Here is a 26,823-nt window from a genome sequence, read left to right on the forward strand (position 1 = left end):
CATTAAGTGTGAGGTTAGCTCTAGGTTTTTGTGAAAGTTCCCTTCTATTCCTAGTTAGCTAAAAGTGTTCTTATAATTGGGTGATGGATTTTGAAAAATGTTATTTCTGCATCTATGGAAATGATCTTATGTTTTTTTTCTTCATTATTCTGTTAATGTGGTTATAGTGATAAATTTGTGGGTGTTAAACCAATCTTACATTTTTGTGACATACCCTTCTTGGTCACTGTATATTATTACTGATATATATTGCTGCAATCAATGCATTAAGTTTTCAAAGATTTTTATGTCTATGTTCATGGAAAATATTGGTAGGCAAATTTTTTTCTGGTAATTTCTTTGTTAGGTTTTAGTATCAGAGTTATGGTGGCCTCACGAACAAGCAGGAAAGTGTTCCCTCCTTCTGTTTTTTATAAGGGTTTGTGTAAGATTAGTGTTATTTCTTCAGTGAATGTTCATCAGTGAAACCATCTGAATCTAGATTTACACTGTGGAATTTTTTGACAATAAATTTAATTTTAAAAATGGATATAGGACTATTAATGTTTTTGTTTAACCTGTATTGACTTTGGTAAATTGCATTTTTCAAAGAACTTATCCATTTTATTTAAGTTGTCATATTTTTAGTATAAAATTTTAGTAATGGTATCTTATTATCCTTTTCATGCCTGTAGAGTTTATAGTGATAACCTCTCTTTTATTTCTGATACTGGTGATTTATGTTCTATTCTTTTTTTAAAGACACATTTATTCAGCGTCATGATCAGACTATATTACATTTAGCAATCAACAGCATGGGTGCAAAAAAAAAATCTACATTAAAACCCTTTCTTGGAATGCTGTACACTTTCTACAGAACAAAAACTAAAATAACCTGTTACACCTTTAGTCACAAATACAGTCCTCAAGTTTTTTGCCCATACACATGAGTATTTATCTAAAACATGTCTTTTTTTTTATAGCAGCTAGGCCCTGCCACCACTGTGCTTGGTTGAGTTCACAAATCTGTTGTAATCTGTAGCTTCCATGTCCCTTCTCTGGCTCTCTTCTCCTGCTAAGCTTTGTTTCCTGGTAGTAACTAAAATCTTCTCCCATTGCTGTAACTACTGCTGCTACTGAAATTGACATAGTCACCTTGGTTTTGTGGTTTGGCAAAGTATTGGCCTCCAACACCACAGTGCTTCTGCTTCCATAGTTCTCCCATTCATGGGTCCAAAATTTGAAGACTAATTGTTGTAATTGCCAAAAGCATTGTAGCTTCCACCACCTTCAAAATTGCTTCCATCACCAAATCCATTATAGCCATCCCCACTGCCACCATATCCACCATGACCACAGCTGCCATCATGACCACTGAAGTTTCCTCCACAATCAAAGTTGTCATTTCCACTGAAACAACCTCCACAACCAACACCAAAGTTTCCAGAACCACTTCAACCTCTTTGGCTGGGTGAAGCACTATCCACCTCTTGTTTTGGCAGGGCTTTCCTAACTTCACAGGTGTGGCCATTCACACGACGGTATTTCTGAATGACAATTTTATCCACGGAGTCATGGTCATCAAAGCTTATAAAGACAAAGCTCCTTTTTTTTTTTGCCACTGCCTCAATCAGTCATAATTTCAATCACTTCAATTTTTCCATACTGTTCAAAATAATCTCTCAGGTGATGTTCTTCAGTGTCTTCTTTAATGCCAGCAACAAATACCTTTTTCACAGTTAGGTGGGCACCTGGTCTTTGAGAACCTTCTCTTGAGATAGCCCTCTTTGGTTCCACAGCTTTCCCATCCACCTTGTGTGGCCTTGCATTCGTGGCTGCATCCACCTCCTCCATAGTGGCATAGGTGACAAACCCAAAGCCCCTGGAGCGCTTGGTGTTGGGATCTCTCATGACCACACAGCTTGTGAGCATTCCCCATTGCTCAGAATGGCTCCTCAGCCTCTCATCAGTTGTTTCAAAGCTCAGCCTTCCAGTGAAGAGCTGCTCAGGCTCTTTAGGATACTGATTTAGACATGACGGTGGCGGTGGGAAGAGACTTTAGCAACTCTTCCTTGGTAGCGACCACAGGCAGAAAGAAGTAAGTTAATGAATGTATCCTTATGTTATATTCTTAATCCATTTTAGGATTTATCAATTTTGTTGATAACTCAGCTCACTGCAACCTCCGCTTCCCAGGTTCAAGCAACTCTCCTGTCTCAGCCTCCTGAGTAGCTGGGATTACAGGCGCCCACCACCAGCCCAGTTAATTTTTGTATTTTTTAAGTAGAGATGGGGCTTCACCATGTTGGCCAGGCTGGTCTCAAACTACTGATCTCAAGTGATCCACCCACCTCGGCCTCCCAAAGTGCTAGGATTATAAGTATGAGCCCCCGCACCCGGCCAACTTTTAGATTTCTTAATATTCTTTATTGTTTTTCTGTTTTTAAGTCTTTTTCAAAGTTTTGGACTGAATATATATTCTTCCTATCATGCATAAAATATATCAGTATTGTGTTAGTCCGTTCTTGCACTGCTATGAAGAAATACCTGAGACTAGGGGCTGGGCGCAGTGGCTCACGCTTGTAATCCCAGCACTTTAGGAGGCCGAGGCGGGCGGGTCACCAAGGTCAGTAGTTCAAGACTAGCCTGGCCAACATGATGAAACCCCGTCTTTACAAAAATACAAAATTAGCCGTGCATGATGGTAGGTGCCTGTAATCCCAGTTACTCAGGAGGCTGAGGTGGAAGGATCACTTGAACCCAGGAGGCGGAGGTTGCAGTGAGCCAAGATTGCGCCATTGCACTCCAGCCTGGGTGACAGTGCAAGACTCCGTCTCGAACAACAGCAACAACAAAAAATGAAATACCTGAGACTAGGTAATTTATAAAGAAAAGAGGTTCAACTGGCTCATGGTTACACAGGCTGTACAGGAAGCATAGCAGCTTCTAGGGAGGCCTCAGGAAATTTACAATTATGGCAGAAGGCAAAGGGGAAACCAGCACTTCACATGGCCATAGCAGGAGGAAGAGTGAGAGGTGGGAGGTGCTACACACTTTTAAACAAGCATATCTTGCAATATCTCACTCTAGCTATGATAACACCAAGGGGGATGGTGTTAAGCCATGAGAAACCACCTCCATGATCCAATCACCTCCCACCAGACCCCACCTCCAACACTAGAAATTACAATTCGACATGAGATTTGGGTAGGGACACAGATCCAAACAATATAAGTTATGGAAGTACCTGAGAAGAGGATCTTACCTCTCGTGTTCAGTTTTATGGAAGTAGGTAGCCTTAGATAAAATTCCCTGGAACCAGAATCTGAGACAGAGATTTGGGTGGATGTGGTTTATTGAGGGACTCCTCGGGAAAAACCTGTAAGTGAAGGAGAGGAGCACGATAGGGAAGGGAAAAGAGCTGCCAAGCAAGGATCTGGTCTTAGGTAAAGTCTAGTCCTGGCCCAAACCACAGAAGGGAGGGATCTGAAATACAAACAGCACAGCAGAGTTGTCATCCCTGGTGGCAAGGGCTGGACTTTTATGCCATCATGTCAGTTGGCCACTGTTGTGGGTCATCTATGGAGGGAGCACAACTTCCCTAGTAAGTTGGCTCCTATCAGTTGATGGCAATTCTCTAGAGAAGAGGGCTAGCTGTAAGCTATTACCAGCCACCACTCATAGGACCTTGGGGATAGAAGATTTAACCAAGTGAACAGGATCTGAACAGGGCACCACAGTATCAACCACAACTCTGATAGTAAACATAGAGTCCTAGGCAAATAAAATAGGATTTGCAGGTGGGGGAAGTGCTTTGAATATTTAATGTAATGCCTTGTAGCCAATACAATATTTTTGATAGTGTTTGAAGAACTATGCCAATAATAATCCTTGTTCAGGGGAATAATACTCTCACAGATGAATAAGACTTGATGTAAGGAAGAAATAGAATACAAAGTTGGTGTATTTGTTAGGGCTGGCTATATTGTTACAAATTTTAGACCCCAAACATGTAATGGCTCTAAAGTTTATTTCTCTCTCAACAGTCCAGGTTGATGTGGGGAGTGGAGAAACTAGAGGAAAGGGCCCTCCTTTACACAATCATTCAGGCACCTGAGCTGACAGCAGCTCTGCAATCTTCAAGACATGATTTCCAAGACTCTCATGAGTATTGCCATCCAGCTGACTGGGTGTATTAATTATCTGCTGCTGCATAACAAACTTAGCAGCTTAAAACAACAATTAATATTTATTATCTCATTGTTATTTTGGGTCAGAAATTTGGACCCAATTTCTTAGCTGAATGGTTCTGGCTCAAGGTCATTCATGAGTTTGCCATCAGATGTGTTTTGTGGGTACAGTCATAAGAAGGCTTGACTAGGGCTGAAGTATCTGCTTCCAATATGGCTTCCTTAGTCCTGGCTATAGGCAGCTGGCTTTGGTTTCCTGACACTCAGGCCTCTTTATAAGGGCTGTTGGAATGCCCTCATGACGTAGTAGCTGACCTCCCTCAGGAAAGTAATCTAAGAGAACAAGATGAAAGCCTAAATGTCCTTTATGGCCTTGACTTGGAAATCACATTCCATCATTTCTGCACTATCTTGTTCGTTACACAGGTCTGCTATATTCAGTAGAGGAGGGAATTATACAGGGACCATGAGCCAAGAATCACTGACAGCCATCTCAGAGGTGCGCTATCATCTTAGAGGAGCACGTGTGGGAGGTTTTTAAGGACAAATCCTATTTGCATTCCATTGGAGTACACTTACTCGCATGGCTACATCTAATAGCAGGAGACGCAAGGACATGTCGTATAGTTGGTTAGCCATGTGCCTTTTATTACAGTGGAAGGAGGAGGGAAGTATTTAAATGCACATCTGGCAGCTTCTGCTACAATTGGGAAAATGAAACAGGAAGAAAAAATCTTCAAGACAAGAATAACTAAAATAACAACAAAAGTTGACGTTAGTGAGCAAATTTCTTTATGTACCCAAACCTACATAATGCTTAAATTTTTTTTCTGATTTCATAAAATTGTTCTTGTCTATAGAATCTCATAGGCAAAAGCTCTTAAATTCTGATAGATTGTTTTTAAAAATCCAACATCTTAGTCATGCATGGCCTTAACAAATGTTTTCAATTTAAGTAACTGACTTTTTAAAAATAGTGCAAAAAATACTAATGTCCATTAGTGAAATCCAAGACACATATACAATAGGGAAAATATAATTTGTCTACACACTCGCTGCCTGGAAAATTAGTAACCAAGGTGCAAAATATTCTATCCCTTCTTTAAGAATCTCCCCTGCAGAAATGTTTCCTATGCACTGACTTAGGTCAGAGACCAGGTAATTCTCATTGCATTTCCTATTAAAACAGTAAAATCTCAGATAGAAGATTAAATATTGAACCAAAAGATTTTTTAATTAGTTTTGCTTAATGAGGAAGAGATAATCTCAGTTGTAACAAGAACCTCAAGTGAAAAATAGTTTTCTTCCTAATTTGTCCCAAACATTCTGTTTTGGCTTTGAGTCATATTCTGCATCAGTGAACTGGAATTCAGAATGTTATTGATTTTTCCTAAACATTTAACAACTCAGAACTAGTCTTGCCCACATTTCCACTGAAGATAGTATATATTCATTCTTTTTAAAGTAAGTTTGCTTGACTACACTTGATTGGAATGATAGAAGTAGCACATTATAAAAAATTCTGTATCCTTTGAATTGCTGCATCCTGCATTGTTATTATAACAATTTAAGAAAGCAATAGCCTTATTTCAGGGTCCATCAGTTCTTTGTAATGCAGAAATGTGTAAATCAGATGGCAAAATTCTTGTCAATGATTATGATCACTCTGTGACATCTTGATTCATGATAAAAAACCAAATATACATTATATATTTTCTATAGAATTTAATAACATTTACCTCAAAACAAGGAGCAGCTGTGTGGGAGTAGAATGTACACAAGATATCAAGTTGGGAATCTTGACTCTATCATTTATTAGCTTTATCATATCATTTAATATATGGGCAAGCCATATCATTTCTTACATGGGCAAGTCATCTAGTCTATTTGAGTTCCAGTTTCCTCATATAAAAACAAATACTAACAACCTCTTAAGACTGTGTATAGATTAAAAGAGGGAAAAATGTAAAAGAACTTAGCCAACATTTATATGGCACATAAAGGTTTTGTTTATTGGTCCTTTAATCCTGTTAATCTAAAAATAGAATTTCACACATGGGAAAATTCAGACAGAGAAGTCAAGTAACCTGCTTAAGATCATATATCCAAGAAATTTTCTAGTGCACTTATCACTACACTGTGCTCATATCAAAGTCTCTTGCAGGGGACATATAAACCAATTAATTGCAGGAGGTATGGGACCTTACTGGTTGGTTATACATGTGTAGTGGGAGTTGGGGGTACTACAATGTGGAGTATTTTAGCACCCTGAGGAAAAGCTTAGTCCAAATTGGTTATATATGAGAAATTTGCTCTGTCCTGAAAGAAGGCATATTTCCCAATGTCCACTTTAGATTCAGTCAAAGAAGAAAATGAAAAAGGACAAAACTTTCAGAAGGCAGATCCAGGGGCTACAGAGACCAATAAGCAAAAGGAGCATCTCAAAATCAGAATTAATCAGGTAACATTCCTCAAACACAGGTAGGGGGCCCTCAAAAGTTGTTCCCAACAGGATTTCAGAATTCTATAGACATGTATTTGCTGTGTGTTTTCCATTTTCCCCAAGGAGAATATTACAATTATCCTGTTCCTGTATCAGCCCTTATGTATCAGGTGAGAGAAGGCAGAAAATCTGTCTTTTTTTTATTTCACAGGTGTAAGTAGGATCTACAGAAGCAGATCATGATTAGAAACTACCATACCTCACCCAGATGTCACAGATTATGACCTTGATGCTATGCTTGCCTAGGACTTTGGGGCTTTCTCCCTAAGGGAATGGGTGGGTATATTTTGCATCTCAGAAATAGAGCAAATCAAACATTTGGTGACCAAAAGGCATGTAGCCATTAGAGCTATTCTAAATATTCTAGTTCTTCTGGGGATATGATGGGACTGTACTTTCCTGCCCCTTGAAGTTAGACATAGACAGGTAATTTACTCTGGCCAATGAAATGTGAGTGGAAATGATATGTGTCACTTTCAGGCAAAATTCATTTATTCACATGTTTCTCTTCTCTCCTACCATAGCGATCACAGAAACACATGTATAGATGGAACCTCTTTCAGCCCAGGTCCTTGAGTCACTAAGTTGAACAGAGACCTCCTTGCTAACCTGAGTTCTGAATGTAGAGTGAGCAAGAAATAAATATTTATTGTGATCAAGCCTCTGTGATATGAAAGTTGTTTGTTACTACAGTAAAAGGCAGTAGACTTTTATTAACACAAGCACACATTTTATTAATTCATTGAAATTATTTCCTTCACAAAGACAAGTAGGATCAATGTCAATCAACCTGAGATAAAGTGTTGTTGGTTTTTTTTTTTTTTATAACCAACCTAATAAATTGTATTTCCCAGTACTAGGTAAAATTGTTGGCCAAAAATTTAATAAAGTCAACCATCTCAACTCAGCAGCCCAGCACCACTGAATTGGAAAGAGTTCTCATAAAGAAGTCTAGGGTTGGTTCAGCAGAAGAGGTGTTTCGAGGAGGCCACAAATAAGTACTCCGTGGCAGCAAAGAAGAGTGAAAGACAGGAGAGAAAAACACTGAAATTATGAGGGCCTCAATGAAAGTTTACCAAAAAAAAAATGACTGCTTAGCTTTTAATTTGTGGGTTTCAGGGTAATCAGGAGAGGTTCTGGAATCTTTTTGTTTTGTTTTGTTTTTGCTTTTTGGGACAGCACCTGGCTCTGTCACTCAGGCTGAAGTACAGTGGCACCATCTTGGCTTACTGCAGCCTTGACCTCCTGGGCTCAAGTGATCCTCCCACTTCAGCCTCCCAAGTAGCTGGGACTACAGGCACATGCCACCACGGCTGGCTAATTTTTGTATCTTTTTGTAGAGATAGGCTTTCACCGTGTTGCCCAGGCTAGTCTCAAACTCCTGGGCTCAAGTGATCTGCCTGCCTCGGCCTCCCAAAGTGCTGGGATTACAGGCATGAGCCACTGCGTACAGCCCAGTTCTGGAGTCTTTAAAAAAAGCTCCAGATTCTTTTTTTTTATTTTTATTTTTTGAGACAGAGTCTCACTTTGTTGCCCAGGCTGGAGTGCAGTGTCCCAGTCTCAGCTCACTGCAACCTCAGACTCCCGAGTTCAAGCAATTCTCCTGCCTCAGCCTCCCGAGTAGTTGGGATTACAGGTGTGCACCACCATGCTGGGCTAATTTTCTGTATTTTTTTAGTAGAGACGGGGTTTCACCATGTTGGCCAGGCTGGCCTCAAACTCCTGACCTCAGGTGATCCACCCGCTTTGGCCTCCCAAAGTGCTGGGATTACAGTCGTGAGGCACCATGCACGGCCAAAAAAAAAAGCTCCAGATTCTTAAAGTGGACCCAGGAGTGAATAGAAGGCATGCTGGGAAGGCAGGGGTGGAGTTACCATGAAGCTCATAAGGCATAAGCTTTAGGACCCCTCACTTGCACAGGCCCTTTCTAAGGTCCTGTGAGGGGACCTAGCAATCTTGTATTTGTAGTTTTTTAAAGGACTGCCCCCTAAATTATATGAGCTTCAGGTCCATGCAACCTGTATCGGCCTCTGTATGGAGGCAGTAAGCTGGCATGGAAAGTCTTGTCACAGCTTCAGGCACTGGGAGTCAGGTAGAGGACACTCCATATTAGGAAATTAATCCTTCCCTGGGAAAGGGGACTTGAGTACAGGACCAGCTACACAATTGCAGGGCTTGGTACAAAACAAAAATGTGAGGCTTTTTGTCCAGGAAGCAGGAAACATGTATTGTTACAGGAACTAATATATAAATCTTTTTCCTTTCTTCCACTTTCTCTCTCTCAACCTGTCATGGTACTTTAAATTTGCCATTTAATGTTATGTTCATGCAGACTTGGTGTGAATGGAGATTTCAAGCAGCCAGGGGCCCCTGCCCCAACATGATACACCAACTACTGGGTTTCTCCTCCCACCAACCACTAAACCAACGTTTTGCCCACAGTCAGGGTGAGAAATTTAAGTCAAGCATTTCTCCTTCTCACCGGCCTGCTGCCACAATCCACAATGAACAGCAGAACCTCCAGATATACCAGATACCTGGATGAGGGTTAGGCTAGAGGCTCATTCAGCCAAGTTCTTGCCTAATATACTGTGGCACTATCAGTACAGGATGAAGATGGCACTGCCCATGCCCAACTGGTCCCAACCCTCCCCAAGCCTACACCCAGGGGGTGATGGGTGATAGCTGTCACTGGGTGGGGGCAGTAAGAGGGAGGCTGGATGAGTCTCTGGGCTTCAGGGAATAGGGGAGTGGGCAGTGAAGAAGCTGTTTGGGAAGGTGGTGGGAGGCAGGACTGTGAATGAGCCTGGGCTCCAAGCCCCAAGTACGTGCTCCATTGTCTTACCAGACTTCACTTACCAAACACAAATTTGAAGATAAAGTATTAAGAACTTTAAGATGGTGACAACAGAATATTAAACCCCAAGCATAAAGCCCCCTTCTGAGCATGAGGCCTTATGAGACTGCATCCATGAAGGAAGCCTTGCCTGAGAGTTTAATACGACACCCAGAGTTGATGTTGATATCCACTGTTACATATCAGTGTTACAACTCTGTTCCAGGAGGGCTTGATTGCATCTATAACACAGAGCGTTTACACACGAAAAGGATTTCTTTTTCTCCAATTCTTCCTTTCAACATGAAATCTGTGGAATATTTCCCTTCCTGCCCCTAACAACTTCTAGAACTTATAGGCAAACTAGATTCCTAACTTTCAGATTCCATAACTACTCATTTTGGCTATTAAAACTCGGTATATTTAAAGACTTTAATCTCATCCTCAACTTAAATCTCATTTTCCCCTCCTCCTAGGGTAGAACTGACCTGGGACCCTGATTATTAGAGAATCTGTTTCTGCAACATCTTTCCTTCTTACCTTTTCCAAAGCTGAAGTCTCCAGCATTAGGTAGGAAAAGGGCGAAGGTCTAGGACAAGAATCTCTTCCAACTTGGTGGGTTGTCACTTCTCTCTGACTAACACTGTGGTTCTAAGGATGCCCTCTGTGTGACAGTCCCTAAATTCTGCTTTCCTTGTGGGGTACATGTATGAGTTCTTCAGAGTCAAGGCCTGCCCACCACAGGAATCTCCAATGCAGATGACGCCACCCCACCTCATCCACAGCCATCACCCATCCACTCAGTGGTACATCCAATACTCTATTATTACTGGGTTTACTACTAGGCTCTCCTGCTCCTCCCCTGCCCACTTGGCTTGGGGTGGGAGGTGAAGGCTCCCTCTTCTCCCTCAAGGGAGGATGAACCATGTTATGGCTTGAACGTGTCCCCCTCTCCAAAGTTCAAGTGTTGCAAACTTAATCCCAAATGCAACAACGTTGAGAGGTGGGACCTTTAAGAGGTGATTAGGTAATGAGGGCTCTGCCTTCATAAATGGATTAATGCTATTATCTCAGAGTGGGTTTCTGATAAAAGGATGAATTTGGTTCCCTTCCTCTCTTGCTCTCTCACACTCTCTTGCCCTTCTGCCTCCTGCCATGGGATGACACAGCAAGAAGGTCCTTGCCGGATGCCAGTATTTTGATGTTGGACTTCTTAGCCTTCAGAACTATGAGAAATAAATTTCTTTTCTTTATAAATTATCTAGCCTTTGGCATCCTGTTATAGCAACAAAAAATGGACTAAGGCAAACCACAAGCCTGATATTCTTCCTTTTTCTAGCATCATCCTAATACTATTATATATAATATATATGAGAGTTTATTAAGCATTAACTCACGCAATCACAATAGGCCATCTGCAGGCTAAGGAGCAAGGAGAGCCAGTCCAAGTGCCAAAACTGAAGAACTTGGAGTCTCATGTTCCAGGGCAGGAAACATCCAGCATGGGAGAAAGATGCAGGCTGGGAGGTTAGGGCAGTCTCTCTTTTCACATTTTTCTGCCTGCTTATATTCTAGCTATGCTGGCAGCTGATTAGATTGTGCCCACCCAGCTAAAGGGTGGGTCTGCCTTTCCCGGCCCACTGACTCAAATGTTAATCTCCTTTGGCAACACCCTCACAGACACACCCAGGATCAATACTTTGTATCCTTCAATCCAGTCAAGTTGACATTCAGTATTAACCATCACATATATGTTGTCCCCATTACTGGTGGCTGCCTTATAACATGGTATTAACACATCTTCTTTTGGGCTGGGGGTCTAGTTACTAATTCCTGGACAATAATACTTACATTTAAAAAAAACACGTGCATCAGATAAATAGAGATATTAGTAAAAGTCTTAGCGTGGTTCTTCAAGACCATTGCAAGATTGCCATCTCTTTCTGGCCAAGGTTCAGGACAGGATTGAGATACTAAAAGTTGCCTTGAGTGGGGGCATTATGGCCCAAATCAGTGCAAATAGCCTCAAACCAAACCACTAAGTCCAAGTGGTCGGGCAGGAGAAGAGGTAAATGTGGGAGTCTGAATCACTGGGGAAAAGAGAAGAGTTGGTGACTGAGGGGACCAACGAGGCTGCAGAGGAGGATGGATGCCTTTTTCTATAAGGGTTTTTCTGTGGCCCTTTGATCATTATGTGAGCAAGCTAAATGAATTAAAATCAGAAAATCTGAAAATCTAACACGAAATAACATTTGTACACTGAGGAGGGTAAGAAAAAATGCACTCATTACCCCTTTCAGATTATGCCAATAAACTGGGCATTTTTGGTTTGAGTCAATGCAGGACAATGTATGGTCTTTAGTCCCATTTTCTGTTGCCTATAACAGAATACCTGAAACTGGGTAATTTATAAGAATATATTAATTTCTTACAATTCTAGAGGCTGAGAAATCCCAGGTTGAAAGGCCATATCCAGTGAGAGTCTTGTTGCTAGTGGGAACTCTCTGAAGGGTCCCGAAGGAGGTTATCACCTGGTGAGGAAGCTGAGTGTACTAACATGCTAGCTCAGATCTTTTTCTCGTCTTATAAAGCCACTGGTTCTCCTTTCATGATAACACATTAATCCATGAATAAATTAAACCACTCATGAGGGCAGAACCTTCATGATCCAATCACTTCTTAAGGGCTCCACCCCACCTCTCAATACTGCCACATTGCGGATTAAGTTTCAACATGAATTTTGGAGGGGCTATTCAAACCACAGCAATAAGAACTAAGTAAAACAATGAAGGTGGTATATAATTGTGGAAAGCTTCATCCATTTATAAAAAAAATTTGCTGAGTTTCTCCAGTATACCAGACCTGTTATATATGTTGGGATACAACAGTGACCATGACAAACAGAGTCTTGATATCTTGAAGCTCACTTTCATCTTCTGATGCAGCTCTCTCTATATTTGAAACATGATCATCTATATATTTAATGTGATTATCAAGACCATACTTATTTGAGTTGGGGGGTATGCCTTATTGTTCTCAGTATTCCTAGCACCTAATACCCTGACTGACACACAGAAAGTACAAAAAGGTATTTGTTGATGGTCCGGGCACGGTGGCTCATGCCTGTGATCCCAGCACTTTGGGAGGCTGAGGAGGGTGGATCACTTGAGGCTAGGAGTTTGAGACCAGCCTGGCCGATATAGTGAAACCCCATCTCTACTAAAAATACAAAAAATTAGCTGGGCATGGTGGCACACCTGTAATTCCAGCTACTCAGGAGGCTGAGGCAGAGAATCACCTGAACCTGAAAGGCAGAGGTTGCAGTGAGCCGAGATTGCGCCACTGCATTCCACCCTGGGCAACAGAACAAGACTTTGTCTCAAAAAAAAAAAAAAAAAAAATTGTTGATGGAATAAGTGAATTCATTTGCAGTAAGAATAACATAACTCATGAAATGCATCCAAAATACACATGTTGTTAATTTAGCATTACTAAAACTTCATGAAACCAAAATTCCTCTCATATATTCGGAAATGTAGCACAAAAAAGTGTTTTGATTAGTGAAATTATGTAGAAAAATATACCTAAAAAGGATATATTCAGAGATAGTCAGGAGTTATTTTCATTTTCTTCCATTATGGCTATTTATTTGTGCCAAAAAATTGCTGTTAGAAGTTGTTTTTAAAAATAGAATCTTTAAGTGGTACATTAAATCCAGCTGGCTTCAAACGGTACAGGGTGGTGGTGTTGGGGGGAGGGTCACAGATGGCCAGATCTCTAGGGAATTCTATGACCTCAGTGATGACTGACTAAAATTCCTGGACTTTTCCTGGACTTTTCTTGTGAGAGGAATTCTACAGTTGATAATTATTGATAATTATCAATTCTTGTTCCCTGATAGTTATTGTTATTACTTTTTATTGAGGTAAAATTCACATAAGATAAAGTTATTTTGAAGTGTGCAATTCAGTGACTTTGAGTACATTCACAATATTATACAACTATCACTTCTCTCTAGTTTCAAAACACTTTCATCACCCCAAAAGAAAACCTCATACCCATTAAGCAGTCACCCTGAGAATTATTTAATCTCTGGCTCCACATAATAAGCACCAATCCTATCAGCTCTGTAATAGAAAAATAACAGGAAAAGTATTTTCCTCCAAAAAGTATAAAAATTGTAACTTTAATAATAGGGTTTGCAAGGCCAGTCAAGGGCTAGCCTGTGATCCTTTGAGTGATGCCGTGGTGACCTCTGATGCTGAACATATGGGCATGGTCTGACCTCCAGATGGGCAGCAGGTGTATCTCTGCATAGGCCTCTGAGAAAGCTACCTGGGATGATCCTGGAAGACCAAAATGTCAACTGAGTTTTTAAGTGTATTTAAGGTTTTCAGACTTAAATGATTTTTGAATTGTCAAACACCACGCAAAGAGTAGATATGGTAAGTGATTAAAAAAGCACATTAAATATAAATGGATTGAAATGTGAAAAAAGCCACAAACACTACACACTGACAGCCTTTAGGAAATGCCTCTTTACAACCTTGACTTTCTTGATGAGGAATTTGTGCTGGTAAAGGGGCTTTCGTTTATTTAGGGGATGGACCGAGAGGCTTCCTGAGGAGAAAATCTATTTTAAGGCAAGACCATGAAGGAGGAGTTTGGGCTGGAAACAAAGGCTAAGTCACCAAAGGGGTGTGACCTTTCTGATTCCAGGGTTATATTGTCATTCAGATTACTTTCCTAGCCCAGATTCTCTTTGAGGTCATGTTTGGATGGGGTAGAGTAGGAACATGGTAAATAAAAAATTGAAAATGGAAAGAGCTGCTTATCTAAGAGGGAGTCCTAAACTAGGCTAAGGTAGCTTTTCCACTCAACAAAGATGTGTGGAAAGCACTATGTGCTGGGCATTTGTTAAACATGGAAGATACAATGGTAAACAGGACAGATATACTCCCTGTCTCCAAGAATTTTACAGTCTAAAGGTAGATATTTAAAATAGGACTACATAAATATTGACTACAATAAAGACTACAGAGGAATAGTTCACTAGGCAACGGCAGTGTTTAATGGCAGAACTCTAACCCAGTCTGGAAAGACAGGGAAGACTTTCCTGAGGAGACATTTCAGCTGAGATCTGAACAATAAAGGGTAGGGAAGGCAAGAGGGTGGGGGCAGTAGGCACAGTGTGTGTAAATGTTTTGAGGTGGGAGGAGCTGGAGTTTGAGGCCAGCGGGCTTAAGCATAGGGGCCAGTGAGAAAAGCAGCAGAACAGTTTATGAAGGAGCTGGCTACTTCCCTGCACTTGTGGACTGTTCTGCCAGCAAGCAAACCAGCCACAGGCAGGGCAGAGAGACCTTCACTGTTGTAAGGTTGTGGGGTATGAATTGAACTGGGGCCTTGAGGGGCTTGGTAAATGGATTAGGCAGGTGTCTGGTTACCCCTCTAGCTAGATGTACTAGGCCTTTTGTGTGGCCAGGTCACATGCCTCTGGCTTCTATGCAACATTGTCCCAAAGACATGGATTCAATCCCTTCCAGAAACTCCAAAATTATCCTGGACTCTGGATCAAGTCTCAGACCAGGAACCACAGCTAAGGCATGTGGTACTGACAGGGTTGGCCTACTGCCTGGTTAAAAATTTTGGCTCAATTCGGGGGCACATGTGTTTGTTCATCTGCATGGGAAACCCCTCATGACACTGACTCTTCTATTGTAGGAAGGATGCAGCCATGCTTGTGCTTTACCTAGCAGAAACATTTTACCAGGAATGAGCTGCGTGAAGAGCCATACATCTCTCAGTCACATCAGGGCCAGGCTTCCTATCAGATATTTGGGCAGAACTTCTATGAGTAGGGATAGCACCTCCAACCATCCATAGCTCCAGGGAGCCTCAAAAGTTGTCCATCTTGTTTAGAGCACTAGCACCTAGCACATGCACCTAGGTGCATTTTAGGAAATCAAGAAATATCACTGTAATGGATGAGTGGAGGTAGAGCACAGAGCAGGCAGTTCTGCTAAAGCAGTTCTCAGCTAACCCAAAAGATTAGCATTCTTTGCTTGCAGAGATGTGAAAAGCCAGCAGCTAAATCAGTGAGTCTCATCCCTCCCTGAACATATACATTACATACATATAAGTTTTATTTAAGGTATGTTTTTAAAATATATTTATAAAGAAATTAGGCTGGAAGTAAATATGCCCAAATATTAAATTTTTTTTTTTTTTAGACAGGATCTTGTGTTGTCTCCCAGGCTGGAGTGCAGTGGCATGATCATAACTTACTGAAGCCTTGAATTCCTGGGTTCAAACGATTCTTCCACCTCAGCCTTCCATTTAGCTGGGACTATAGGCGTGTACTACCATGCCTAGCCAATATTAATTTTTTGACAATAGGATTATGTATAGTTATCTTACTCTATGGATATACTTAATCTATGGATTTCTGTATGTTACTTAAAAAAAAAAAGCTTTACTGAAGTATAGCTGGCATATAATAAAATGCATATGTTTAAAGTCTCACTATGAAAAATTTTAACACATTAATACACCTGTGAAAACATCACCACAATCAAGACAGTGAATATATGCATCACTCTCAAAAGACTCTTCTTATCAAAATACACAGACATAAAATTTACCATCTTAACAATTTTAAGTATACAGTTCAGTGTTATTAAATACATTCATAAAATTATGCACCATCACCACCATATAACTCCATAACTCTTTTCATTTTGTAAAACTGAAACTCCATAGCCATTAAACAATAACTCCCATTCCCTTCTATCCCGAGCCCATGGAAACCACTATTCTACTTTCTGTCTATGATTTTGACTATTCTAAGTTCATCTTGTCCTTTTTTAATGCCACCTTCTTGCCCCACCCTCACCCCATCCCCAGACAACCACTGATTTGTTTTATATCACTATAGATTAGTTTTTGTTCCTTAGAATTTCATACAAATGGAGTTATAATGTACACTTTCTGTCAAGTCTGGCTTCTTTCATACAACAGAATTACTTTGAGATTCCTCCATGTTGTTGTTTGTATCAATAATTTATTCCTTTTTATTACTGAGTAATAGTGCATTGTATATATACTTAATTTGCTTATTCATTCATTGTACATGGACATTTGGGTTGTTTCTAGTTTTGAGCTATTACAAATAAAGCTGCTGTGAATATTCATGTATAAGTCTTTGTGTGGGTGTAAGTTTTCATTTATCTGAGGCAAATACCTAGGAGTTGAATGGGTCATTTGGTGGATGTATGGCTTAACTTTTTAAAAAGCTGCTAAGCCATTTTCCAAAACAACGATAACATTTTACATTTTCATCAGAATTGTATGAGAGTTCCTGTTGTTCCATAACCTCTCCAAAACTTAGTATGATTAGTCTTTTTAATTTTAGACATTCTAGTGGGTATAGGTATATCATTGTGGTTTTAATTTGCATTCTGTAATGATCAATGATGATGAACATCTTTTTATGTGCTTATTTGCCATCTGAATATCTTCTTTGACAAAAAGTCTGTTCAAATATCTTATCTGTAGGTTTATTTGTGTATGTGTGTTCTTATTGTTGAGTTTCAAGAATTCTTTATGTATTCTAGATAGAAGTCCTTTATTTGATATGTGATATGCAAATATTTTGTCCTGTCTGTGTGGCTTTTCACTCTCTTTGGTGTCTTTCTATCAGCAAAATGTCTCAATTTTGATAGAGTTTAATTTATCAAAATTTTTAAATGGATCATCTCTTTCATATGGTATCTAAGGAAGCTTTGTTTAGCCCAAGGTTACCAAGATTTTCTCTTAATTTTTCCTTACAGAAGTTTTATAGTTTTAGTTAAGTTGAGGTTGATGCCTAGGAAAATAACAACAACAACCAAAAAGAACAAATTTAAAAACAACAAAAAATAAGTTTCATATTTTAGGTTTTATATTCAGGTCTATGATCAATTTTTAGTTGATTTTATTTATGGTAGAAGGTATGGACCAAAGTTCATTTATTTGCAAATAAATGTCCCATTGTTCTAGTACCTTTTGTTGAAAATGACTATGCTTTTTTCCTGAATTGACTTTGTACTTTTGTTAAAAATCAATGGACCATACATGTGTAGGCCTATTTCTGAAGTCTCTATTTTATACCATTGAACTATTTGACTATTTTTATGCCACTATCTTTAAGTCAGACAGTATAAGTGTGCCATTTTTGTTCCTTTTTTTTTTTTTTCCAAATTGTTTTGGCTATTCCAGGTCCTCTGCATTTTTATGAGTTTTAGAGTCAATCTGTCAACTTTTAAAAAATCTGCTGAAATTTTGATAGGGGTTGCATTGAATTTATAGATGAAATTGGGGATAATTGATGTCTTAAAAATATCAAGTCTTCAATCATTTGGGTATTGGTTACTCCAAGCCAATTCAATCAGAATCTCTGGGGACAAGACAAGCCATTGTATTTTCTAAGAAATTCCCCAGGTGCTTTTAATGTACAGCCAGAGTTGTGAACACTGATCTCTGGCATCTGTCTTGCAGGCAGCTCTGACTGCTTAATGCTCCCAAAGGAAATGAACTATATTGAATAACACAAGGCATAATTGAAGGAAATAGTGACACTGAGCTTAGAGAAAAACTTTCAAGGAGACATGGACTTGAAAGGCTATCATACAGGAGAGGAATTAGACTCTTGCAAACCCAACAGACAGAAACTTCAGGGAATCAGACATTATCTTAGCCCAAGGAGGTACTTTCAACAGTCAATGATGTCCTCAGAAACAATGGGCTTTCTAGGAGGGGAGATCTCTTTGGTCCTAGAGATTAGTGGGATTCATTCACTAAACATTCACCAGCTCCCTACAATGTACTGACAAGAAAGTTGCAGAGGCTTTTCAGTATCAGAAGAGTTCTTGGAAGAACTACTCTGAGTTTGATAACTACTCTGAGTTTCTGATTCCATAAAATACTTTTTGAAAATTCTTCATGAAATTCTCATGAAATGGCTACTTTGTACTGTTGGGCCACAACTGTAGGCTTTCTTATTATTCATAGCTCAAGGTTGTTGGGGAAAAAAATGAATACATTGCCAGTGGGTATGTATTATGTAGGACATAATGCATTATGTAGGACAGAGAACAGAAATAGTAATAATGCAACTGTCTCACTGAGAAAAAGAAGCTCAGAACCATGAAACTTCTGTGGGTAGGAAATTCCAATAACATAAAAATATGTGGGGTGAATCTATTGCATTGATCACATGACCAGGATAATGTAAAGTTTATATGGAGTATAGTTTGTATGGAGTTAAAGTAGCAGCTAAAATATTTGACAGATTTAGAAATATAATTAGTTTTTTCAAGGGCATATGGAACCTTGACCAAAATGGACCATATTCTGGACCATAGAAGAGATTGGCCTGTGTTTCTTTCTTGTATTGGCCTCGTGAGGTTTTGGTACCAGGTTATGTGGTCTCATTAAACAAATTGTCTATTAGACCTCTATATACAGAATCTATACGGAATAATTCAACAAGCAAGAACTACTCTGAGTTTGGTAACTACTCTGAGTTTCTGATTCCATGAAATAGTTCTTTAAAATTTTTCATGAAACTTTCATGAAATGGCTACATTATACTGTTGGGTCACAACTGTAGGTATATCATAATTCACATTTCAAGGTTGATGGGGAAAAAAATGAATACATTGCTGGTGGGTAACTAATTCTGTGTGAGGGATACAGAATTCTATTAGTTTTTCTTTAAGTTTCTGTTAGTTTTTCTCTAAGTTCAGAGTCACTATTTCCTTCAGTCATTCCTTGTGTTATTCAACACGGCTCATTCCTTTTGAGAGCCTTAAGCAGGTAGAGTCCCCCCAAGACAAATGCCATGTATGAGTCTGAACAAATTTCAAATGATTGAAATGAAACAAAGCATGTTCTCAAACTACAGTGGAATTAAGCTAGAAATCAGTAATAAAGGATAATTTAAAAATTGCTAAGTCATTGGAAATTACACATACACTTCTAGATAACCTACGGTTCTAAGGAAACTTCAACAAATATTGGAAACTTTTTGAGCTGAAAATAATATTTTAGTCTACCACCATACCACCCTGAACGTGTCCAATCTCATCTGAAAATAATATTTTGTTTCAGATTAGGAAAATACAACATATTCAAACTGGAGTGCAATTTAAGTTGTACTCAGAAAAATATTTGTATCCTTAAATGAATATATTCAAAAAGAAGGTGAAAATCATTTGAAAAAGTCATGAAAAGAGTACCAAATTAAACCTAAAGGAAGTGTTAAAGTGAAGCATATTAAATTATCTGTATTCAACTATTTTTTACCTACAAAAACAGCAATTTCATTTTGTTAAATTTAATAGAAGGAAATAAATAATAAATCACAGAACTTAACAAGCTATAATGAAACAAACAAACAAAAAAACAAAATTATAGTGGTGTGAATCAAAACCAAAAGTTGCTTCTTTATGAAGACTAATACAGTGGTTCTCAAAGTGTGGTCTGAGGACTTTTGGACATCTCTGAGGTCCTTTCAAGGAGTCTACAGGGTCAAAATTATTTTTATAACAATAATAATATGTTCGTTTTCATCCTTATTCCCTCACAAGTATACAACAGAGTTTTCCAGTGGATGCATGACAGGGAATATTGCAACAGATTGACAGCAAAAATAGGTGAAAGACTCCAACTGTCTTCGATTAAGCCTGACATTAAAAGAGATTTAAAATGTAAAACGATGTCACTCTTCCCAATTTCTTGTTTTAAAAAAAATTACTGTTTTCATTTGAGATAAACATTTTATCTCTATTATCTTTATTATGTTAAAAATAACATAAAATGTTATGCTAAAGTATAATAGTTATAAGTAAATTTAAAAATAAATATTTTAAATTTTTCACATTTTTAACCTGTAACATAAATATTTATCAAAATATCTTTAGGGTCCTCAATAATTTTTAAAAGTGTAGAGAGTCCTGAGAATCGCTGAGCTAATAAAATTGATTTATCAGTGGTGATGGTGATCAAGAAAAAAAGAAATAAAGGCATGAATCTCTAATATCGAGAATGAAAAGGAGATATCACTATAAAGTCAATGGACATTAAAAAATAATAAAATATTATAAACATCTTTATGTTAATTGATTTGAAATTTTAATAAATTGATAAATTCCTAACAATATAAAACTCAAGCGACACAAAAAAAATAGAAAATACAAATAATTTATATCTATTTAAACATTTAATCTATAATTTAAAACCTTTCTCTGGTATACACAAAACCTGTAGGCCCAGATGACTTTGTCAGTGAATTCTACCGAACAATTAAAGAATAAATAACACCAATCTTACACAAACTCTTCAAGGGAATAAACTAAAAGTGGAAACTTGCCAACTTGTTTTTTTTTTAATTTCAACTTTTATTTTAGATTCAGGGAGTACATGTGCAGGTCTGGGTTAATTGTTATATTGCATGATGCTGAGGTTTGGGGTACAATTGATCCTGTCACCCAGGTAGCAAGCATAATTCCTGATAGGTAGTTTTTCCTTGCCCCCTCACTCTCCCTGCCCTCTTTTGGAGGCCCTGATGTCTATTGTGCTTATCTTTGTGTCTGTGTGTACCCAATGTTTAGCTCCCACTTATAAGTGAGAACATGTATTTACTTTTCTTTTCCTGTATTAATTCTTAGGATAATGGCCTCCAGCTGTATCCATGTTGCTACAAAGGACTTACTTTTGATATTTTTTTAATGGCTGCATAGTATTCCATTGTGTATATGTACCACATTTTCTTTATCTAGTCCACCACTGATGGGCACCTGACTTGATTCCATATCTTTGCTATTGTGAATAGTGCTGCGATGAACATATGAGTGCATGTGTCTTTTTTGTAGAATGACTTATTTTTCTTTGGGTATATACCCAGTAATGAGATTGCTGGGTCGAATTGCAGTTCTATTAGTTCTTTAAGAAATCTCTAAACTACTTTCCACAGTGGCTGAACTAATTTACATTCTCACCAACAGTGTATAAGCATTCCCTTTTCTCTGAAGCATCTGCCTTTTTGACTTTCTAATAATAGCCATTCTGACTGATGTGAGATGGCATCTCATTGTGGTTTTGATTTGCACTTCTCTGACGATTAGTGATGTTGAGCATTTTTTCATGTTTGTTGGTCGCTTGTATGTCTTCTTTTGAGAAGTGTTTATGTCCTTTGCTCACTCTTTAATGGGGTTATTTGGTTTTGCTTGCTGAATTATTCCTTATAGATTCTGTATATAAATGTCTAATAGACAACTTGTTTAATGAGACCACATAACCTGGTACCAAAACCTCACAAGGCCAATACAAGAAAGAAACACAGGTCAATCTCTTCTATGACAGATGCAAAACTCCTAAACAAAAGATTAGCAAACTTAATCCAAGGATGCATAATAGAATAATACACTAAAACCAAATTGGGTTTATTCTATGACTGCAATATTGCTTTAATGTTTGATTATCAATCAATGTAATTCATGACATTAATAGAATAAAAGATATCAACTATATCAATTCAGTAGATGCAGAAAAGGCATCAACAATAAAAAAGTTCAACAATTACTCATGACATAAAATAAAACAACAGCAACCTCATAACAAATGAGGTATAAAAGTAAACTTCATTAAGCTGATAAAGAGTAGTTACAAAATACCTACAGTAAATGTCTTATTACTTTGAAAGTTTTCCTCCTGATACTGGGATCAAGTCAAGGATGCCTATTGTCACCACTGTGATTCACTATTTTTCTGAATGGCCTAGCCACTACAATAAGTCAAGAAAAACAAAAGTATTAGAATGAAAGAAAAATGATAAAACTGTTATTACTCACAGATGATATGATCATATATGTACAAAATCCAAAAGAATCTTTAGAGAAACCATTAGCATTGCATTTCTTTATATAATTTCACTCCTATATATATATCCAATAAAATATGTACATATGTATGCCAAAAGACATTTACAGCAGCATTATTTATAATAGCCAGAAAACTGGGAATAATCCAAATGCCCACAACAGTATAATGGAAAAATAAATTGAGATATACTCATGTAATGGTATACTATATAGCAACAAAAAGGAACAAACTAATGATAGATGCAAGAATATGGAGAATCTCATAAGCAATATGTTGAATGAAAAAGGCCAGACATAAGGAGTAAATGTTGTATAATAACATTTATATGACACTCAGAAACAGACAAAACTAATTTATGAGATCAGAAGTCAGAAGACCAATTACCATTTAGAAAGCAGGGAAGGGTGACTGGGAAGGGCACAAGGGGGGATTTCTGAGGTGCCAGTAGTGCCTTATTTCTTCATCTAAGTAGACATAACATGGATATAACCATTGTATAAAAATTTATTAAGCTGAGTACTTAAGAATTTTGTACTTTTCTGTATATATTATACTTCAATAAAATAATTCATAAAGATACTTGTACAAGATACTAAAGAAGAAATCTTTTTTACTTGTACATGCAAATGAATGGCTGTTGAATAAGAAGTCTTTGAGAAATACCAGGTTCAATGCCAAAATATTTTTGAGATAAATCAAATTTTGCCAAAAGAGCTATATAATTTAATGAATGTAATTCAGTTCAACATTATTCTGAAAGAGAGAAAAATTTTTAAATCTCATCATGTTGTTTTAGTGTTGGAAACTGATAAAAACGTTGAGTATTGGCTGACTCTGAGCACACTGGCTATGGGTTAGCCCTGTCCACAAGGAGCAGCAAAAAAATAAGATTTTTTAAAAAAATACTAGCATTGTGAGGAAATAATGGTATGGAGACTTAAAAATATAGTAAGTCACTGTATATTCTAGGGATTATATAAAATATTTGAAAAGTCTGGGAAAAATTGAACCTCAGATTAAAAGACCTCCTACTCTAAGAAAAATATGCCATGGCTATATGCAAAGTAAAACAGGTATAATTTTAAGTGAGATCAGTAAAGCCTAGGAAATTGTAGGTCAGAAATTACACAGTGCCAAGCAATTATGGAAATATCTTTCCAGGGCCATAAAATCTAATAACAAAAGTTTATGACAGAAAATATTCAAAATCAGACTGAAAATCAGTGGAATCAGGTCAGCATTATGGAGCGAATGTAAAATGAAGGCATAGCTGCAGATAGAATTTTTTTTGCTTTCATCTTTACTGAAAAATATTTTAGAAAATATCTTATATCTAAACTCCCTAGTATCAATTTTCTCACTTCAGTTCTCTTCTGTTCCTTCTCTACAAAATCTCCCCAGGAAATCTCAACTCTTCCCAAGATTTTGACCCACCACCTATGTGTGTATATTTTTCCTCAAATCTTTATATCCAGCCACCTCTCTTTTCTGAGCTCCAGAGATTTATTTTTAATGTTCTACTGCTATTTTCACTTGAATAACTTAAAGACATAACCTTCAAATGTCAAAAGCTAAACTCATGATCATTTATGGCATACCCAGTTCTTCCTCCATTGTTCTAAATTGCAGTGACTTGGCCAACAGTCCTCCTAGTTGGCCAGCCTAGAATAATCTTAGAGTCATTTTCAAGTTCTTCTTCAGCTTCTTCAAGTCATTCTTGAATCCCCACCTCTCAGTTTCCACTACAATGGTCTCAGAGCAGGCCCCTCATTTTCATTTTCGTAGACTGTTTCAATAGTCTCCCATCTCCCTAACTTCTCTGCGCCTTTCAATATGTTCTTCACACTGCTAACAAACTCATCTGTCTAAAATATAAGTCACATCAATCTCATGCTTTAAGACCTCTAATGGTTCTTGTCCCTAACTATAAGATTTCCTTGATATCCTGGCATAGGTGGAATGACTCTGTTAGGCAATAGCCTTTGCAAAGAGATGCTAATCCCAAATCCAACTGTCTCCCTTAATATATAAAGTATATATTCAACAAGCAGCATAGAAAAGCAGGGAGCATAATCTTGGGCTCAACGTCACAGACCCCAACCGATATTTTCAAAAACTTGTTTAAGAGAAAATGTGGATTATTGTCTGAAATGAAGATTATTTACCCTTTCTTATAGTCCAGATAGTCTTAAGTACACTCTTGCATCAATTTAGATCAGCAGTGAGCTGGATACCTATTCTTCATTGTATTGGCTCTCTGAAAGAATGGCTTTTATTGAATTGCACCTAATTGTAATGCGGTCAGCCCATACTGAACATTGTTATAACAAACTGCCCTTTGAAACTTACTGTTGCTGTCTACAACACTGCTCCTCCCTCTTTATGAGGTTCTTTGGAGGAAATTCATATATAGTTTTAGTACTAGTATGTCTCCTAAGCAGTTGGCTTGTTTGTGTCTTATACACATTGAATTGTTGGAAAGGTTGAAGGCAAATTTGTGTCCTGCTCAGAGTCCATGTATACATCATTAAAGTATGCATCTTTAGCTTCATTAGTAGCTTCAGTCCCACTTCGCTTTTATTTCTTCTATTTACTTTCAAATTATGCTATCCTGGATCCTTATAAACTATCTTAGAGTCTTTCTGGAACAAGGTGAAATAAAAGGAGATAACTAAATAAATACACAAACATTCAAATAAATAAATACAAAATCCTACTATCTTCTGTTGTTTTATGCAGTATTCCCAACAGTAGCTGACATCAAAATCATCTTTGAAGTTTTATACATACCCAGATGCCCAGGCTTATTTCAAGACTTACTGAATGAGGATCTTAAGGGAAGATGCCCAGGCATTAGTATTAAAAAATAAAAACAGGCCAGGTGCAGCAGCTCACACCTAAAATCCCAGCACTTTGGGAGGCTAGGATGGGAGAACTGCTTGAGCCCAAGAGTTTGAGGCTGCAGTGAGCTATGATTGCACCACTGCACTCCAGCGTGGGCAACAGAGTGAGACTCTGCCTATAAATACACATATACATACATACATACATACATACATACATACATACATACATACACAAGTTGCTCCACAAATGAAACAACTGATAAACTGAATCTCAAAAAAAAAAAAGAACTTTTGAAAGAAACTTAAGAAAATGAAAAGATAAGCCACCGACAGGAAGAAAATATTTGCAAATCACACCTCAGATAAAGGAATTGTATCCAGAATACATGAAGAACTATTGAAACTCAATAATAAGAACACACACAACCCAGTATAAAACACGGAAAGATATGAATTGCCATTTCACCAAAGAAGTTATAAAGATAGGCTGGGTGCAGTGGCTCATGTCTGTAATCCCAGCACTTTGGGAGGCTAAGGTAGGCAGGTTGTTTGAGCCCAGGAGTTTGGGACCAGCCTGGGCAACGTGGTAAAACCCCATATCTACAAAAAATACAAAAAATTACCTGGGTGTGGTGGCGCATGCCTATAGTCCCAGCTACCAGGAAGGCTGAGATAAGAGGATCACCTGAGCCTGGGAGGTCAAGGCTGCAGTGAGCCATGATTGTGCCATTACATTCCAGCCTGAGCAACAGAGTGAGGCCCTGTCTCAAAAAAAAAAAAAAAAAAAAAAAGATATAAAGATAGAAAACAAGCACATGAAAGATGTTCAACATCATTAGTTGTTAGGGAATACAAATTAAAACCACAGTGCCATGGAGTACTATTTAGCCATAAAAAATGAAATCCTGTCATTTGTGACAACATGGACGAATCTGAAGAACATTATGTTAAGTGAAATAAGCCAGACCCAGAAAGACAAATACTACATGATCTCACTCATACATAAAAAAAGTTGATCTCATAGAAGTAGTGCATAGAAGAGAATGGGAAGAGGTTGGTCAATGAGTACAAAGTTACCGTTAGAAAGACTGAGTAAGTTCTGGTGTCCTATTGCACAGTAGGATAACTACAGTTAACAATATGGTATTGTATATCTCAAAATAGCTAGAAGTGAGGATTTTGAATGTTCCCACCACAAAGAAATGACAAATGTTTGATGTGATGAATATCCTAAGTACCATGATTTGACCATTATACAATATATACATGTATTGAAATATCATATTGTACTCCATAAATATGTATAATTATTATGTGTCCATTAAAACTTTTAAAAAATAATTGTCAATTAAAACTTTTAAAAAACCATAATGCAAATTAAAACCATACCTACTAGAAAGTCTAAAATTCAAAAACTGAAGATGCCAACAATTGGTGAGGATGTGGAACAGCTGGAACTCTCTGCAGCTGATAGGAGCGTAAAATGTCACAGCCATTTTGGAAGACAGTTTGGCAGTTTCTTAAAAAGTTAAACATACCGCTACCATA

At 37.9% G+C, this 26,823-nt stretch overlaps 1 protein-coding gene and 1 pseudogene across 5 annotated transcripts in view, besides 1 other annotated feature; both read right to left on the bottom strand.

The window, feature by feature from the left end:
- Nucleotides 1–26,823, bottom strand: part of WDPCP (WD repeat containing planar cell polarity effector) — a 721,268-nt gene that overhangs the window by 631,054 nt on the left and 63,391 nt on the right. The gene's annotated exons all lie outside the window — the stretch shown is intronic.
- On the bottom strand, nt 886–2,096 carry HNRNPA1P66 (heterogeneous nuclear ribonucleoprotein A1 pseudogene 66; annotated as a pseudogene).
- Nucleotides 14,748–15,563: an enhancer, noted in NCBI's record as "H3K27ac-H3K4me1 hESC enhancer chr2:63992494-63993309 (GRCh37/hg19 assembly coordinates)". NCBI's record gives its function as "activates a minimal SCP1, AML or CMV promoter by ChIP-STARR-seq in naive H9 embryonic stem cells {active_cell/tissue: H9 hESC(naive)}" and the evidence as "EXISTENCE:reporter gene assay evidence [ECO:0000049][PMID:30033119]".

Source organism: Homo sapiens, chromosome 2, assembly GCF_000001405.40.
Source record: "Homo sapiens chromosome 2, GRCh38.p14 Primary Assembly".
Taxonomy (NCBI): Eukaryota; Metazoa; Chordata; class Mammalia; order Primates; family Hominidae; genus Homo; species Homo sapiens.